This window comes from Homo sapiens, chromosome 2, assembly GCF_000001405.40.
Source record: "Homo sapiens chromosome 2, GRCh38.p14 Primary Assembly".
NCBI lineage: Eukaryota > Metazoa > Chordata > Mammalia > Primates > Hominidae > Homo > Homo sapiens.
Window position 1 is genome coordinate 13,093,807 of NC_000002.12, and position 20,085 is coordinate 13,113,891.

General features: G+C 36.6%; 2 long non-coding RNA genes across 4 annotated transcripts in view; both read left to right on the forward strand.

Moving 5' to 3' along the window:
* LOC105373436 (uncharacterized) overlaps positions 1-20,085 on the forward strand; it is a 330,895-nt gene that overhangs the window by 93,018 nt on the left and 217,792 nt on the right. The gene's annotated exons all lie outside the window — the stretch shown is intronic.
* The window catches only part of LOC105373484 (uncharacterized), a 112,349-nt gene continuing 99,737 nt past the window's right edge, over positions 7,474-20,085 (forward strand). The window contains exon 1 of the long non-coding RNA XR_001739294.1: positions 7,474-8,616. This is a non-coding gene — a long non-coding RNA (uncharacterized LOC105373484). The remainder of the gene's footprint in view (positions 8,617-20,085) is intronic.

The following is a 20,085-nucleotide window of genomic DNA, read 5'->3' on the forward strand; positions in this document are numbered from 1 at the left end:
AAGTCATTAGTTGTTGATGCAGAGTGATGTGTGGCACTGGGGACTTGTGCTGTGCCAAGGGAGGGGTCCCAATTACTTTCTGTAGCAAAACTAGATTTTTCTTGGACACATTGTTCTAAAACCAATACTTTCACAGCTTCATTTGGGAATTGATTTTTTTCCAGACAAAATGAACTTCATATTCTCAAGACAACACTGTTAGCCAATTTTCCGGATATTTGACTAGAGTTCATCAGCTGGATATTTGAATAACTTTTTATTCTTTTGTGCCAACACAGTAGGCACAATTCCATTTAGGGAAAAATGATAATAAAGCTGCAATTAATTATTGATGTAACCTTAATAAGTACCTAATTATTCTTCCTCTGTCCCAACAACCACTAAATTCTGAGTCAAGAGGTTTGAATTTTACACATAGCGTGCATTGGCTCTATGACAGAGCAATCACTCAGGCACAATAATTCTAAATGATAATCAAAATACTCTCACGCTTCAGAATTGATAAAGCACATTTCCACCACTGTACCACTTTATTTAATTCTACCCCATTAAAGTAGCCTATAAGACAAGTGTAGTTATTTCCATCCATTTTAAAACAAGAAAATTAAGCTCAGAGTGGTAGTAGAAAGTACTTAGGGGAAAGAAGGAATGAATGCTTATATTTATTAAGCCCTAATTATTTGCTTATTCCTCCATATTATTGTTGTCATTTTATTTTTCAGGAAGCCATATAATTTATGCATTTTATCTTCCATTTCTATTGTTGATAGTAGATATTGAATCCAAGTTTCTAAAATGAAACTCCTTCTTTCTTTTCCTTGTATACATCAGCACTTTTGGACATACAGAATCATTTATGTGGAATAAAGTTTCTGCTACCTGTCGTCTGTTAAACTATTTTTATGCACAAATATAATATCCAAATACATTTCCTTCAAATATCTCATAATGTATTATATGAGAAAGAAATTAATATTTTAAGTGTACCATATTAATAGAATAATTACTAATGTATTAATTATTAGTAATATTAATAGAATGTAATGAATGTATTAGTGGTCTACATAAGATATTAATTTGTTAAGAAGGACAGAGTGATTGAATCTGTCAGATGAGCATATCTCATTTTTCTTTCTGCCCTTAGTTCCAAGCATTGCAGAAAACATAGGTCTTCAGTATCAATTGTTTTAATTCATATTCCTTATACCTGAAACATAAATATAGTCAAGCCATAGCTCATAGGGAAAAGATAGAGTAATTTAAGAAAGGTATGCATGTAGACATTATGAAGAACAATCAAGACTCCATATAACATGGGGGAAGACCACAAGAGCTAAATGAAAGTAGAAGTCTGCATACACATCAGGGAAGAAGACAACAGAAAGTATATTATCCAAGCCATAGGTCTTAGGATTCAGGGACATGTCTATCTTCTTGAGGAATCCTGAAGACAGTAGAAAGAGCAGGAAGATGATGTTTATTTTTTTCAACTGGCCAAGGGTTCCTGAAATCTTCTGGATTCAAGCACAGTATGAGTTCCACAGCTTGGTTCAGAAAATTTGCATTAGAAGAGATTCAGCAGCACACACACACACAAAAAGCCAAAATAACGGTAGCATACATGTATAAACATCTGTTTTTTTATCTCATATATAAGTTGTTTAAAGATGGAAGTTAGGAATATAGTGGTAGCAGCACAGTATGAGATACGAAGTTTTCTCTCATCTTGTTCACCCTTGTTAAAACTAGAATTCCATGTTCAAGGTCACTTCAAGGTCTAAGAAGACTGACAGGATGATGATACCATCACATCTGTATCTCAAGAAGCAGAAAAAGAGGAGGTAGAAAAGGAAAAAAAATAATACAAAACAGCAGTCAGACCCATTTTTTCCATTTCCTGGAATTCAGCCTTCTACTTATATGTCAGTGGTCATAACTGAATTAAATGTCTACTTCTAGCTGCAAAGAAGGCTGGAGAATATTCTTTCAGCAATGCCAACTGCTGCCTTGAATTAAATCATAGTATGTAACAAAGTACAAAGGAAAGAATAGCTAGTGGGTAAGCTACTAGTAGTGTCTACAAATATACTCACAGGCTATTCCAGCTCAAGAGGCCAGAGAGATGAGGTGGTGTTTCTTAGGGGGCAGCAGTCAAAGTCCTGAAATCAGATGGGATATGGCTTCGGTGGCCAAAAATACCAGCTGCAGTGTGAATCAAGAAGAGAAATTCCTTATTTAAATTATTTACCTATATCCATTGGAAAATTAACATGATATACTGTGATTTTATTAGACTGAGGCACTTTCCTGCAGTCTCCCAGAAATTTGTCATGATAAGTAAATAAATTACTGCTTTCTTTGCCGTGAATGACACTCCCTTTGTGATATAGTTTGGCTGTGTCCCCACCCAAATCTCATCTTGAATTGTAGTTTCCAAAATCTCCATGTGTTGTGGGAGGGACCTGGCTACAGGTAATTGAATCATGGGGGTGGTTACCCTCATGTTATTCTTGTGATAGTGAGTGAGTTCTCATGAGATCTGATGGTTTTATAAGGGGCTTTTCCCCCTTTGGCTCGACATTTCTCCTTCCTGCCACCATGTGAAGAAGGACATATTTGCTTTCCATCATTATTGTAAATTTCCTGAGGCCTCCCCAGGAATGCTGAATTGTGAGTCAATTAAACCTCTTTTCTTTATAAATTACCCAGTCTTGAGTATGTCTTTATTAGCAGTGTGAGAACAGATTAATACACCTTGGATAGTGAGCTATTAGTGCACTACATTATCGGTTCAAGCATAAACAAAGGCCCTGGAAGAAGGTAACATCAAACTCGATGACATCTATTCATCTGTTTTAGAGTTCCAAGTAGTACTAACAAGGACCAGAGTGTGTTTACAGCTAATCTAGGGAGGTGGAAAAAGCGTTGGTTACAGTACAGCCTTCAGAGGGCCTATGAAAGACAGCCTGTAAATCCAACATTTGAATGCTTGCTCCTTGAGAAAGAATTCTCTTTGCCATTCCTGGGTTATATCTATAAACCAGAAGAAAGTAGCATTTCACTAAGCTCAAATATATAATAAAAGTTCCTGTAAATCTAGTCAATGAAACTTCAACTTGACATTTTGCTGATCTCTGAAGTATTAAATTATTATGTAGCACATTTGACTGTGTGTTAAGACACTCAAAAATTGTCAAATTATATACAGAGTAAAATTCAAATCAAATATTTGAAGAAATGCCAAAGTACACCACAGTAGTAGAGTTCTATGAAACCCAGGTTGAAATTACATGTTAAACGATGCTCTTGATCTCCAAGGTTGTAAGCCTAGAGTTCATTGAAGTGGAGCTTGGGAGACAGGTTTGGAGAGGAGGAGGTCTCATTAGTGCTGAATTCAATGACATTGTGATGACAGGGATTACCCTGGCTTTATCCCAGAGTCCAACTTGGGACACTGGGAAAATTAGCAAATCAAGGTATTATGCAAAGGAATTGGGCTGGGTTTGGAAGACTTGTGTACTTTATGAAGGGTAAATTTGTGAACAGAAAAATAGAGATTTCTGTATCTTATATCCAGTTCTTTTAAATACAACTTTCCTCTTATCAACAGCTGGAGGACACATGATGTGACAAATGCAATTAAACCTAAGGGGACAGTTCTTTAATACTGGATTCCATCAGATGGGATGAGCCTCCTTGGTAGGAGATACAGTATCACAGCAGCCCTGTACAAATATATACACCTATAATTTCAGGGTTGTTGTAAAATCTAACTCAGACAATTTTACATAACTTCTTTGTTTTATTTTATTTTATTTTTAGGTGGCAAATAATGATGGTAGATATTCATGGGGTACAATGTGATGCTTCAATACATTGATATAATCGTAGCTTTGTACCCGTTGACCAATATTTCCCCTTTCCCTTTCCACCCCTCCCTGCTCCAACCTCTGGTAACCACCTTTCTACTCTATACGTTGATTTCAAATGTTTTAGATTACTCACAATGAGATGATATGGTATTTGTCTGTCTGTGTCTTGTTTATTTCATTTAAAGCATTTTTCTCTAGGTTCATCCATGTTGTCTCAAAAAGAAGTATTTCCAGTTTTATCATGGCTGAATTGTATTCTATTGTGTATATATGCCATATGTTTTAGTACATTCATCTGTTAATAGAGACTTAGGTTGTTTTTGTATCTTTTCTATTGTGCATAATGTTACAATGAACATGATACTGCAGGCATTTCGTCAGCATACTTATTTTAATTCCTTTGGGTATATACTCAATTGTGGAATTGCTGGAACTTATGGTAGTTTTACTTTTAATTTTCTAAGAAACCTCCATGCTTTCTGTGAGGGCTGTACTAATTTGCATTCTCACCCACAGTGTACCAGTGTTGCCCTTTCTCCACATCGTCATCTGAGTCTGTTATTCCCTGCCTTTTTAATAAAGGTCATTTTAACTGGAGTGAGATGATATTTCATTGTGGTTTTAATTTATATTTCCCTGATGATTAGTCATATTGAGCATTTTTTTCATATATCTGTTGGCCATTTGCATATCTTCTTTTGAAAAATTGCTATTCAGAAATTTTGTCCATATTTTAATTGAATTATTTGTTCTGGTTTTGTTTTGCTATTGATTTGTTTGAGTTCTTTTAATAGTCTAGTTACTAATCTATTGTCAGACAGATAGTATGCAAATGTTTTCTTCCATTTTGTGGATTGTCTCTTCACTTTATTTTCTTTGTTGTCCAGAAATTTTCTAGCTTGATATAATCCCATTTGTGTATTTTTGCTTTTGTTGCTTGTACTTTTGAGATCTTATACCAAAAAATTTTTGCCTAGACCAACGTCCTAGTCTCCAAGTCTTTCTTCTAGTAGTTTCATAATTTCATGTTTCTATGAGGGCTTAATCCCTGCATCCGATTTCTGCCTGGACATCCAGGCATTTCCATACATCCCTGAAATCTAAGCAGAGGTTCCCAAACCTCAGTTCTTCATCTCTGTGCCTCCCTAGGCCCAACACCATGTGGAACACCCATGAGGGGCCCAGCACCCTCTGAAGCAATGGCCTGAGCTGTACCTTGGCTCTTTTTAGCCACAACTGGAACTGGAGCAACTGGGACAGAGGGCACCATGTCTTGAGGCTGCAAAGAGCAGGGGATGTGTCCCTGGGCCCAGCCCACAAAACCATTTTTTCCTCTTAGACCTCTGTGCCTGTGATGGGTGGGGCTGTCATGAAGATCTCTTGACATGCCCTGGAGACATTTTCCCCATTGTCTTGGTGGATAACATTGGACTCCTCAATACTTATGCAAATTTCTGCAGCTGGCTTGAATTTCTACCCAGAAAATGTGTTTTTCTTTTCTACCACATGGTCAAGCTGCAAATCTTCCAAACTTTTACTGTCTGTCACTTCTTGAATGCTTTGCCTGCTTAGAAAATTCTTCTGCCAGATAACCTAAATGATCTCTCTCAAGTTCAAAGCTCCACAGATTTCTAGGGCAGGAAAAAATGCTCCCAGTCTCTATGCTAAAGCATAGCAAGAGTGGCCTTTGCTCCAGTTACCAAGAAGTTCCACATCTCCATCTGAGACCACCTGAGTCCAGACTTCTTTGTCCACCTGATTTTCAGCATTTTGGTCAAAACCATCTCAACAAGTCTCTGGGAAGTTACAAACCTTTCCACTTCTTCCTGTCTTCTTCTGAGCCCTTCAAACTGTTTCAATCTCTGCCTGTTACCCAATTCCGAAGTCGCTTCCACATTTTCAGGTATTTTTATAGCAGTTCTCCCTACCTTAGTACTAACTAACTATATTAGTCCATTTTCACACTGCTATAAAGATACTACCTGATACTGGGTGATTTATAAAGAAAGAGATTTTATTGACTCAACTCTGCAATAGCTTGGAAACTTACAATCATGGCAGAAGGGGAAGCAGGCATGTCTTACATGGTGGCATGTGAGAGAGAGAGAGAGCATGTGAGAGTGCAGGAAAATTTATCATTTATAAAACCTTCAGATCACCTGAGAATTCACTTACTATCAAGAGAACGGCATGGGGGAAACCTTCTTCATAATCCAATCACTTCTCTCTCTCAACACATGGGGATTATAGATCCCTCCCTTGACATGTAGGGATTACAATTTGAGATGAGATTTGGGTAGAGACACAGAACCAAACCATATCAGCTTTGTAGATGCACTATGAGATTGGCTGATATCTCTGATTGAACACTGCAACTGGTAGGAACAGAGGTACCACCAATACCCATGAGCTGGTTAATTTCTTTATTTCTACCTTACACGTGGGTGGTAAAATTGTACCATTTTCCCAGTGTTCTCTGTAAGGTGAGAATGGAGTGAGTGTCCTGGGAAGTGCCTCAGAATGCTAGGGAAGCTGGTTGCCTGCCTCATGTTCTCTTTTTTTTCTGTAGAAACTGTAAGCCTAGGGAAATATTCTCTGTCTGGCATTGTACCAACTTGGGGAAAAAGGAGAGGGTGGTATGATTGAACTGAGACCATTCTTCTTGCTCTCTAATTAGGATTATTTTTTCCAGTTCTGTGTACTGTGCAAGTATCTCAAGCTTGCTTCCAGTTTTTGGGGTTTCCAAAGTGATGTTCTTGTCTGTGAATAGTTGGTAGTCAAATTTTCTGTAGGGGAAGGGAAGGCTAGACTTCCTATTCCATCACCTTGCTGATGTCACTCCTGAAAAACTATTTTAAGTGGTAAAATGGTCTTTGCCTATATCATATTAATGTTCACATCTAAATGAGATTCCTCAGCCTTGTAGTTTGATGACTGATATGGTTTGGCTGTGTCCCCACACAAATCTCATTTTCACTTGTAGTTCCCATAATTCCTATGTATTGGGGGAGGGACCCAGGGGAGATAATTGAATCATGGGGGTGGTTTCCCTCATCCTGTTCTCATGGTAGAGAATAAGTCTCACGAGATCTGGTGGTTTTATAAAAGGGGTTTCCCCTTTGGCTTGGCTCTCATTCTCTCTTGCCTGATGCCATGGAAGACATCCTTTGCTCTTCCACCATGATTGTGAGGTCTCCCCTGCCATGTGGAACTGTGAGTCAAAACTCTTTCCTTCATAAGCAACCCAGTCTTGGGTATGTCTTTCTTAGCAGCATGAGAACAGACTAATACAATTACCATTTGGTGAGTTTTAAAAATTCGATAAGTTCAATCCAAATGCTGTGTTTATAGTCAATGGTATAAAACTCCTAATTGCATATTATATTTATGAAGAACTTTAATAATTTTATGTGTATAAAAGATATAATTAACAAATTTTTATATAGAAATGAGCAGAAGCACACCAAACTCCAAAGGGCCTCTGTAAGTCCTCAGTCCTGTAGATTTCAAAAAATTGCTGTTTTAATTAGGATGAAAAGCTACTTTATTAATTTCTGAGATCAAGTAAAATTTATTATTTGTACAATTTAACAGCTTCTTATCAGATCTGTCAAAATGAGAGAGATCTGTCTGAGTCTGCTTGGACTGCCGTAACAAAATAGCATAGACTAAGAGGCTTAAGCAACAGAAATATATCTTCTCACAGTTCTGAAGGCTAGAAGTACCAGGTCAAAGTCTGGCAAGGTTTCTTTTTCTGGCTTGTAGACAATGGCTGCCTTCTTGCTGTTTGCTCACATGGTCTTTCCTTGGTGTGTGTGTGTGTGTGTGTGTGCGTGTGTGTGTGTGTGTGTGAGAGAGAGAGAGGGAGAGAAAGAGAGAGAGATTGTTGCCTCTTATTATACTGACACTAATCTCATCATGAGGATCCGAACTTCATGATTCATCTGACCCCAATTTCCTCCTAAAAGCACCATTTCTAAATACTGTAACATTGGGGGTTAAAGTTTCAACATATGAATTTGGATGGGGCAAAAACATTTGTTCCATCATAAGGTCCATAGAGTTAGTTTCCTTCAAAGAAAATACTCATAGCACAATTAGATTTTGGGTAAATACTACTCACTTATTTGGTCACAGTGCTGACATGCCGGACCTACTGTTGAGTCTCATACATAATGGAACTGTTAACTAGGACTCCGTTGGCCAAAACTCAATGTATCCAATTAGAATATAGAATTGGAACTGGAATTTATTAAACCAAAATTGCGTATTACTTATTTTTAAATATAACCCCTCATTCAACATGAGTAGACAGAGTGATTAATATGTTAAATATTCCCTTATAAATGCTGAAATACAAAGAATTAGAGGGTCCATTTTTTGAGAAGCTCACAGTCTAGTTGGAGAAACAATTATAAAGAAGAAAAACATTAATAATACATGTTAGAATAGCTGTAAGATCAGGGTATTATGGGAATTGAAAGGGAGAGTTTAGAGAAGTTATAGAGTTTACAGAGAACCCTCTGAATCAGGTCCACTGTGCACTGGTTACCAGCTTCTCAGAGTCTGGCCAGGCAGAACAGGCCCCCACACAAGAAGTTACATGAAGTGTATTTATTTTTTACAGATAGGCAGCAAGGAACAACAGAGATTTAGGGTTCACTGTGAGCCAGTTCCCCAACACCCAGGACAGCTTCCCAGGGAAGACGGAGTCTCGTCTGCCTGTGCTCCACTTGTACAGCAGGTAAGGAGTCCCAGAGAGCAGTCACCCTTGGTTTTATACTCTAGGACAATGTGACACACCAGACTAAAGTGCTGGAGAACATCCTGTTTCTAGGGGTTGTTAAAATAGAGCCAGTGCTGCTCTGGCCAGTCCTCCCTTATCTCAGAATGTTGTATTCTCAGCACATTCTATAATTACCCTTGAGAACTAAAAGCGAGAAAGATGAGGTGGGAGGAGAACTGCCTTAGTCCTTGGCTATACGGAGAAATTTTCTACATACTCTTTGTGATAAAGAAGAGCACATGCACAGCTGTTTTATCCCTTCCTCTCTGGGGACAGTGCTTTATCCATGATAGTATTAGGCCGATTCTTATTATTAAGAGGTCAAGACAGAAGAATGTCTCTGGCCTTCAAGTCACACTGCTTCTTTCCCCATTACTCAGCCTCACCCTGTGCTATGAGGGGGCCTTGTATATGCCCAGTTCTCACTGTCAAGCTCTGTTTCACTAACTCTGCCTTGAACACAATTAGCAGTGTTTGCTCTCCTAAGGACCGACAAGGAAGAGAACTGGACAGACTCTGACAATGAGTTCAGGTGATTTCTGCAGAAAAGTTTAGATAGAGTCTTGGCACCAAAAAAGATTGAGGCTGGGTCAGTCCTTCAGAAAGTGCAGACTCTTTAACCCATAGGGTAACTTATACAAGGACTAAGAAGGATCTGAGTGTCTCTTCCAAAGCATGAACTTCCATTGTACTGCTAACTGTGCAATAAATCATTATTTCACTATTGGTTATAGTACAGTCTTCCTTAGTTAAGAAAAGAAGGAGCTTAGGGCTGCAGTCAGTTCTGATTGTCTTACTTTGGGAAATTCACTTCTCTCTTGGAAGATGATCAACTTTCTCAGAGCTGAGGGCTTGGACTAAATCATTTTCAGACTTTGAAGCCTGACTTTCTTTTAACTTTGTAATACGTAGAAACCACTAATTCCCTCTGAGCCTTACTTTCTTATTTGCATTAGCAGAATTCATATTTCTACCCATTTTATATCTAAGAACAGGATAATGTAAGAAAAGTGGTTCCAATATTGTAGAGCACAATTAATGTAAAAGCTGCAATTTGTCTCAGCTCTGTAACAGCTTCAAAAGTCAAATACTGATTCTATGAAATGTTGTAGAGCATAACGAATAATATTTTGTTCTCACTGTTGATTTTGCAATACACTGGAGGAAACGTTTGCCACAGCAAAAACTATCACAACTGGTACTCCTCTTCTTCAACTCACTCCTCCCTGCCCTTCCCCACCCCATCCCTCCCTATCCATCCCTCCCCAACAACCAAACTGCTTCCGGGGGCAGGTAAAATTCCAACAAATGGGATTTTAAAACAGGCTGCTCCACTTATTCCCGTGAGAAGTAAATAACTCGCCTTATGTCTCTGATCATTAGTAAAATGGCCAGTTAAGACACACAGCACAGCATCACTATGATGCTGTAAAAATGTCTAAAATGTGTAAAAGTGATGTGGCTTTGAAACAGTAATATGACTGCTATGTGGTAAGAGCTCAATAAATGGTTGCTAATACTATTGCTTCACTTCTTTGTTTGTTTGCTCAGCAAACTACAAAAAAACTCATTTTAATAATGCCAGTCAGGCATAAAATAGTGAGTGAGAATGTCTCAATTTATGTACATATTTTCTCTCTTTTATTGTGGATAAAACTTCAAGACAAGTTCTTTTCCTCGTTGTCTCTTAATCAAACTATTCTTGCTTTATTTCAAGCATGAATGTATTCTCTTTCATCTTCAAGGGCATGAAAGCAATGAAGATAAAATGTAATTTGTTAGCAAATCCTTGAGAAAGGATTTCCCCACTATGGGGCTAATGCAGCTCTGTTGTGTCACGTGATTGACATGGATGTGCACAGGTGCGTCAAAGATTCAGTCCTCTTCTCCATGCTACCCTGGGTACTGAAATTGGACAGTGGTCAGCTGCTCATTTATTCTGTGTGTTCTGGGGCAATGTGTTTTATTTTCCAAAACTTCTTTAATATTTGAAAAACAAATAAAGACAAGTCAAAAGTAATTCTCCAAGACACCAAATCAAACATATTAATAATACCAAATTCTGAAAAGATTTTCTTGTCCTATTAAAAGATAAAATATTAGTGCTATGCAAGAAAGTATACTTCTATTAGTAACAATGACAACTGACCATCGAACAGTAATAAAGATAGAGTGCATGCATTTTTAGTTATTTAAGAAATAAAAGGGTTACCAGAATAGGTTCCTCTATGATACATACTTGTTTGTTCATTGATAATCACAATTTAAGGGCTGAATGAATTCCTGCATTCTCCAATTAGGTTAGATATGAATAATAAAGTACAAAATTCCTGTTCATATACAAGAAAGAGCCTTGACAATTCCACAGTGAACCTTTAAGCTTGAGAATTTATGATACATTTATGTGGTCTTTTGAAGACTAAACATTCTTTTATAGCATCAATATTTGACTTTTCCAGCTGGGAGGGAGCTGAGTCCAATCCAAGCTTTTGCATGAATTGTGCTTACTTAACTGATTTTTGGAACTTGCTTAACTGATTTTTCTCTCTGTGTCTCAGAACCTTGGAACCAAATAGGATTCCCCAAATTTGTTATCTGTACATGCTCATATATATTTCTAATTTAATTTTGCATATATTCATGTACATATAATTGCATGAAGGCACACATATGATTGTAATATGCACAACTGATATCACTGTTTTATATTTTTTCTGTCTTAGTTTGTATCTGCCGCTTTCATTTTCTGTCTTCTAAATTTCCCCTTTTGTTACAAACTAAACAATTCAGAATGGTAAAATAATATTAGTTTGTTTGCATGAATTACCTTGTTTATTACCCGAGTGTGTGTGTATGTGTACTTTAAAGTGCATATATATAAAATATATATATATAAAGTGCATATATATATACACACACACATATATATATATGCTCTATATGCTTTTATATACTCTGAAACTCATACACTCTTTGCTCCTTGCTTATTTTCCTTTGTGAGATCATGTTATGAACTTTTCTGCATCTTGCTTTAATAACTGCACAGTATTCAATACTTCAGTGGTGATTCTATCATAATTTATTCTAACAACCTCCCGTTGAAGGACTTGCACTGTATTTCTAAATGTTTCCCTCCATAAAACAATGTTTTAATAACAATTCCATTATCTATACCCTGACATATTTGTGTTTTCATTTTGCGGAATTGATTTTCAGAAGTGGGATTGCAGGGTCAAAGGCAATATTTACTCTTATATGTGCATAGGTGTTGCTAGACTACTGTTTAAAAACTCTGTAACAATTCAAATTTCTGTCACAATGTGTGAGGGAAATAGTATTGATAATACACAATATTGTCAGTCCTGGGAATACTGTGTATTGTAGCTCTTATATTAATAAAGTGTACCAGTATTTTAAATGTAAAGAGAGTACGTTACTGTTAATTTGATTTGCATTTCCTTGATGCTAGTGACTTGGATGTTTTTCTCACATGTGTATTGATCATTTGGATATGCTGTTTTATTTTTGGCTTCTTCACATCCTTTGGCCACCTTTTCCATTTTGTTTTCTGTATTATTTTGTACGTACATAAAAGTTCTTAGTACATAATATATATGTATATATAAAAATCTTTTATCTATATTCCATCCTTAAAGATTCATTGTCTGTTTACTGACCCTTTTTAATCACAATGTAAGTTGCCATTAAAAAGTTTCTCGTTTGTACGAAGTCAAATATATTTACATTTTCTTTTACATCTTCTGAGTTTCTTTATTTTGACTGACATCTTTTTTTAATTTCTAGATGATATTTATATTCACCTTCAATTCTTACATGATTTTTCAACTTTTATTTTTATTTGTGGGATTTATTTTTGTGTGGTTAAAATAAAAAGTAGGATCCAAAGTTGTTTTTATATGGTTAAATTTGTCATGGAGTGTCTTGTGTCAAACCCTGACAAAATGGAACCAGGAAGTCTATGAAGTTTCCACACACAAACTTCCTGTTAACAAGACCTATCACAAATAGCTCTGCTGAAACCAAAACCTTGTGCAAAAAATACTCCTACGAGGACATCTGCCCGGCAACTGCTTGCCTAACCTTGGCCTGACAACCACCCTTGTTATTGATCCCTGTAGCCAAGGATAATTGTTTCTAAACAGCTTATATACACCTATTTATTTTTCTTTTAAAAACCTTCGTCTTTCTTTACCTCCCAAAATACACCCACACATCTTCCCACTGCATTGTTTATTCCTGAAAAACTTAGTATCTTTGAAGAATCTCTCTGTTTTTTTAAGGTGATGATAAAGATTAATAGTAAGTTATTTCTACTGTTATATTTTCCACCCTGAATAAGAATACTATCTTTATTATATTAAATTATCGTATATACTGTGATTTAATTTTAACTTTCTATTTTCTTTGATTGATTCATGTATCTATTTTTATTCAAAGGATACATTGATTTGACCTCAGTATTTTTATAAATTATTATACATCTAAATAAAGCAAGTTCTTCCTTTAATGTTCTCTTGCACTAATCTCTTGTTTCTTTTGAGGAAGTTTTTCTTCCTTATAATAATTCAAATTATTATTTCCAATGGCAAAACACTATGTCACGTTACTAATTAGAATTGACATAAATTTATATACTAATCTTGTAAAAATTGACATTTCATTTAGTCTTAAAATGAAGACTATGATATGTGTCTTCTTTTGTGCAGAACTTATTTTGTATCTATAAATACATTTTTTATTTAGTGCTTCATTCAGGACTCTATACTTTAAAAATTATTTCTAGCTAGTGGATAATTTTGAATGCTAGGAAATAGAATATTTTCCCTGATTCTCTTAGTGTTTTGCTAGAAAATAGACCAACTATTGATTTTTAATACTAGAAATTTCATGGCAGAAAAATCTGAATTTTCTGGGTATACATATCATAGAGAAAAATACTTACTTTCCAATGTTTATATCAGCAATCTTATTTTTCTAAATGCATTTTCTAGAATCTGATAGGCACAATTTAAATGAAAATGGTGATAGTGGGTGTCCAGTTTCTGATTTTAATTTAAATAGTTTTAGTGTTTTATCTTTTAGGATAACAACAAATGATGACTTTTATTAGTGTTTATTACACTAAAATTTCTCATTTGTAGCTGTGATTATATGATCTTTCTTTAATTTATTGATGTACTACTAGAATAAGCTCTATCTGGTTATAGTTTATTGTTTTGCTGACAGTGTACTTGCTTCTTTTTAATAATGCCTTATTCTTGATTTGAAATTATTGCTTCTACATTCACAAAAATACTATTCTATGTTGTTCTTAATAACAATATTTTTACCTAGTTATTGTATTAAAGATGTCTTGATTTTACAAAAGGTATTGAGGATTTTTAAACATTTTCCTAGCTCCCAGGATTACTTAAAACAGTTTAATTATCTGTTCTTTTGAAACTAAGTAAAACTCAATTATTAATCCAGTAGATCCTGGTAATAGTTTCAATGAACAAAGTTTTCAAATACTTTGTAATAACTAATCTTCATATTTTGACTTATTTGAGGTTCATTTTATTTTTGCTATGAAATTTAGGTCATTATTTGCTAGGAATTATAGATTTATTTTAGGATTTCAAATTCTTTTGATAATATATCCTTTCCAATATTTACATTTATTCCATTACATTTATTGTACTCTATTCTATTGCAGCTTTTAACATTATTTATTCCAATGGCAGGCCACATACAAGACCGCCAAATGATCCCTATCTCTCAGTATTTGTGCTTTTATATAACCCCCTCCCATTGAGTATAGGATGGATCTGTGATTTGCTTTGAACATACAGAATACAGCAAAAATGATGGGTGTGATTAGATTATGAAAAGACTGTCAGACTCTCACTGGCTTCCTCTAAGGCAAGCAATCCATGTTGTAAGCAACCCTATGGAGAAGGCTGTCTGGCCAATGGCTAAAGGAAGATGCCTGTTAAAAGCCAGCAAGAAATAGAGCCCCTCAGCCAAACAAACGGAGAAGGACTGAGTGTTGCTGACAACAACATCAAGAAATTTGGAAGTGGATTATCCTCTCCTTCAGATGAGACTGCAGTCCAGATGACATCTTGATTATCACCCCACGGGAAATCTTAAGTCAGAGGCACCCATCCTAGGCCCAAATTCCTGACCATCAGACACAGGAAAATCAATGTTGGAGGAGTAACTTGTGAACTGAGAAATAGAGAACTAATACAAATCCTTTTTCCCAATAATTTTTACCATGGTTTATGTTGTTGTTTCAAATTTCTTTTCAAAATTTAGAATTTTATTTTATTACATACATTAGACAAGTCTTAATTTAGATGGATTTAAAAAAAAGAAAAAATACTTAATGTAAAAGAAGGACATAACTATGCAGACCAAACTGGTTGTGAGTTCATGAACTTGTCAGAGACCCTGGCTCTTTTGAGCTTACTCCTCTAGGTGTAGGCATCTTCTCTCCTTTTGGTACAAGTTCTACCAGGGGAAAAGGTGGGAGAAGGGCCAGAGATGTGCCAGGGACTTAAGGATATTAAATAATATTTTTATGACAGTAAATTGACTGGATATTTTGCCATGTATCTGGAAAGTAGGCAGGAATATGATAATGTTTCAGCAAAGCAGTCATATGCCCATTGCTACCATGGTAACAGATTTTGTTACCATAAAGCTGGGTTAACAAACTATGACCCATGGTCCAAACCCAGTCTATTGTCTGCTTTTATAAATAAAATTTTACTGAAACATACCCACATCTCACCATTTATTGTTTTGTTTTCTACGGCTGCTTTCACATTATAATAGCATAGATAAATGGAGGCAGACAGCATACAATCTGTAAGAAATGTATTAGCAGGCCCTTTACAGAAAATGTTTGCCAACCTCCCATATAAGAAAGGACAGAATGGATGTGGGAAGTAATTTATAAAGTCAGGACAAGAAGCATAGCAGCAGCAAATGCTTTCCATATTTGACATAATAAAAGTGCAGGGATTTCAGGTAGGTGAATTATGACACAAAGGTAATTAATCGTGTCAGTTAATAACTGCACCATAGTACTGTCCTAAGCACACATCCACATAATCTCTGTGCTATACAATGAGGAGTATCTGTTTGGCTCATGAGATGGAAGGTTGGATAGGATTCAGATAACACAGGACAGGCCCAGGCTGGCTTCCCTGCTGGTCCCTGCTAGGCCCACTCATAGGTCTGCCTGTGCAAGCTAGTACCTGGTCATCTAGGCTGGGTGTGGCTGGTGGCACTGCTTCGTGTTTGTCATCACCTTTTTCATAACTACAGTCTAGGCTGAGGATATTCTTCTCCTGGTAATGACAGAGAACAAAAGAAGAAACAAACATGAAAATCCTGCCGAGGCTTTTGCTAACATGGGTATAATATCATTTCATCTTTATTCTATTGGTCAGAGTAAGTCAAATAGACAAATCCAAAGTCAAGAGGCAGGAAGTATACCCCAAAGTGAGTAGATGCTGCTAAGTGTTGTAGCATAGGGAAGGAAAACAATGGGGTGCAGAACTGGAATTATAACACGGTCTCTGACATCACTCTGAATGGATTCTTCCCATAGGGCTACCTGGGGAGATGAGAAAATTGTCTGAAGGGTGCATTTCCTGTCCCCACAGAGCTGACCAGTGCAAAGGTGTCCATGACAGAGCAAGGGACAGAAATAGTTCTAAGGAAGCTACAGCTGTGTACACTCAAAATTTAATGTTAGAACTCCTGCCCCACAGAGAGTATGCTGACTAGGTACTGTTGGGCAAGAGAACACCACAGACAGAACCAGCTCAGTAGAATTCATTTCCCTCTTCTCTAATCTTTGCACCTCCTCCTGCCCCACCCACCTGCTGCATGAAGTATGGAGGCAGATATACATGAAAAATAAATACTGAAGGTACAACTATTTTATTTCTCCACCTTATATTCCTTAACTTGGGGAAAAGGAGATATTGTGAACTAGATTGAAGATTGAAATCTTGGATATTCCTGAATCCAGAGTGTTTTCATTTCTAAAATGACCTGTGTTCTTATGACTAAAAAGTGATTGGGAAACCTATGGGCTATGTCTAAAATACCTTCAACAGGGAATGGAGGGAGAACCTATGCAACATGTCTCAGGACAGCAGTTGGTGAAGAAAAATAAACTTTAAACAATTTTTGTTGTTATTATTTTCATAAATCTTTGAATTAAGTCTCTTTATTAAATGAATTATAAGAGTAAATCTACCATGGTAGTCTGTGATCTGTTAGAAGAAAAATTTAAGTAGACTCGATGATTCAACAACAAATGGCATTTAAAGTATGAAGCTTCAGTGCACGTTTTTTTTTGTTGTTGTTGTTATTAATGTGTTACTGGCATGAACTCTGAAAGACTGACGTGGAGTTCCTCCCCTACCTCAAGGCAGCAATTTTAGGATCTTCCCATGTTATTCTAAGAGGGCTATTGAAATAACATAACTTAGAGCTGTCCCTGTGAGATCAGAAGGACCAGAAGATTAATCCCAATGTGAGCTTCTGTGTATCCTCGGTATTGTGGTTACCTTTGGTCTCATTTGATTGATGGTTCAACAATGAACTGATAAAAATGCAACCTTGGCTGAGTCTGAATTGTCATTCTCATGAATTATTCCCCTGTGTTAGCCCTGTGGCTAGTCAGGCTTAATCCCCAGGTCACCATGTTATGGTAGGATTAAACTGACAACAGAGGGGATAGAATTTGGATTATTATTATCATCACCACCACAATGAGTCAGATCTGTTCATCTTTGATCACAATTTGGTGACAGGATGAGTAATTTCATTTATAAACATCCCTAAGCAAAGCCATCAGGGGAAAGACAGTAGAACTATATCAAAATTATTAGACATACACAGAAAGTATTCAGTAAGTTGATGTGGTTTGGCTGTGTCCCCACCCAAATCTCATCTTGAATTGTAGCTCCCATAAAACCCATGTGTCATGGGAGGGATCTGGTGGGAGTAATTGAATCATGGGGGTAGTTATCCCCATGCTGCTGTCCTCGTGATAGTGTATGAGTTCTCATGAGATCTGATGAGAAAAGGGCTTTTCCCCTGTTGGCTCAACACTTCTTCTTCTTGCCACCATGTGAAGTAGGATGTGTTTTCTTCCCCTTCCTCCATGATTGTATGTTTCCTGAGGCCTCCTCAGCCCTGTGGAACTGTGATCCAATTAAGTGTCTTTCCATTATAAATTACCCCACCTCAGTATTTCTTCATAGCAGCATGAGAATGAAATAAGACAGTAGTGATGGCTGAGTTGAGGAATAAATGAAGGATCCAAATATGACGTTAGACTCTGTCTTTTCTCCACCTCAGTCCTCTGTACAATTCCAATTTTCTTCTCTGAAGGAAAGGGAATAAGGATGGAATTATAAACACATCTGAAATTCTTATTCGTAATTTAAGTAAAGCTTCTCATGGGTCTCTTCTTTATTTCTTCACATTGACACTCTACTCACCCCCTAATTCCCATTTCAGTCTCTCCTCCTTCCCACTTATCCTCTTCATAGCACCTAAATATATAGAGTGTTGTAGGGAAGGAATAGAACTAATCACTTTGAATGCATTACCTCATTAAGCCTCATAATACAATTATATAGAAGCTATTATTATGCACATTCTATAGATCAAGAGAGCGGAGTTAGAATATTTAAGCAGATTTCCCAAAGCCTATTCTTAGGTCTAGGAGTTTGGATTGGTTCTACCCCTGATACACAACCATATTGGTATATTGGCTTCAAGTATGGTTCATACAGTGGTATATGTTCAGCTTAAAATCCTTCTATTTTCTTCTCTTCAAAAAGAGCAACAAATCATCAATAGAACAGTTCAGATGCTTACTACTTCCCTTTTACAGTAATTAAGTGCAGTGCACAGAGTGGTACCAAGGAAGAGCTGGGGCAGAGATGTGATGTGTGACCTATCACGATTTCAATCGTCCCTTCCCATATTTTTATATGAACATTCAGCATTTTTAACACTGTGTATATGCAGCTTCAACTCATTCTCTCAGGTACCTGCTGTTAAAACTCTCACACATTTCACTGCTACCATTGCATGTTTTTTCAACCTAGAACCTTGGCATTTCTTGTTTTGTAGTCACCTAATTCCAACCTCGACTGCAGCCATCCCATGGTTGTCTTCCCTCTGTGTGATTCTGTCCTCACATAAGAATTTCCACTTCTTATAAGAACACCAGTTATATTGGATTAAGGGCCCATACTGTTCCAGTATTATCTCATTTTAACTAGTTAGAGCTACAAGGTCCCTCTTTCCAAATAAAGCAACATGCACAGAGACTACGCGTCAGGGCTTCAACATATCTTTTTGGGTAACACATTTAGCACATAGTATAGATGCTAGAAAATTATTTTTTTCTCTATAATTTTACACAGTTTTAAAAAAAGGGGTTCAGGCCAAATGATCTCTGACTTCTTTTACAATTCTAATAGGCCTTGTCCCTGAAAGCTTTTTTTATTGGCATTTTTTATAATTTGAAGAATTTGTTTTAATTGAAAGGACTGGAAAAAAAATTACTGTATTCTCATGCGTACACACACACAAAGATTCAGTGAGCATAGCTTGAAGCATGCACAGCACTGATGGGAACAGAAAAGAAAAATATTTAAGATCCGTCAAGGTCACAGGGGACTGCCAGAGGCTTATATACTGCCTTGTTTCTAAGGTCAGCTGCTAGACAGCTTACAAGAGTTTTGTTTGCACAAAGATTAATTTAGAGATTAACCAGGTGACCTTGCGAAGCTCCTGAAGAAGGCTTTTCATGAAAGCCCATAAAACATATTTGTAGGTGGTTGTTAATATTTATTGAAGTGTGTGTGTGTGTTCGTGTGTGTATGTGTGTGTGTCCACATTTTACCATAGCCCAAGATCCTGAGGAATAAATTTCCATCATCCTTTAGCTTTCTTCTTCTTGAGATCTTATTATCTGAATGACTTTATACATACTAAAAAGTAATCAAAAAATTTCAGGAGTGCAGCTACCTCTGTGTTGGATGGTGACTGTATGGTGTTTTAAACATTTGGCCATAGATAATGAAAGCTTATTTATCTCAGTTCTTTCGATGAGTATTAGACTGGAGCATGACTGAATCTGATGTGTGCTCAGAACACAAATGAAAGCCAAAAGTTTACAACAGGATTTTTCATCCCATTATAATGATGTTTTCTTCATGGAAGGATGTGCAGGAGAATTGAATGAGAGGAAAGAGGAGGAAGAACTAACATTTGTTCATACTAGGATTAGGGGAAAGCACTGATACTTTTAGTTTTTTTGTGATAAGTGTTTCGTACGCTCATCTCATTTTCACCTATGGGTACATTCTCTGATTGTTC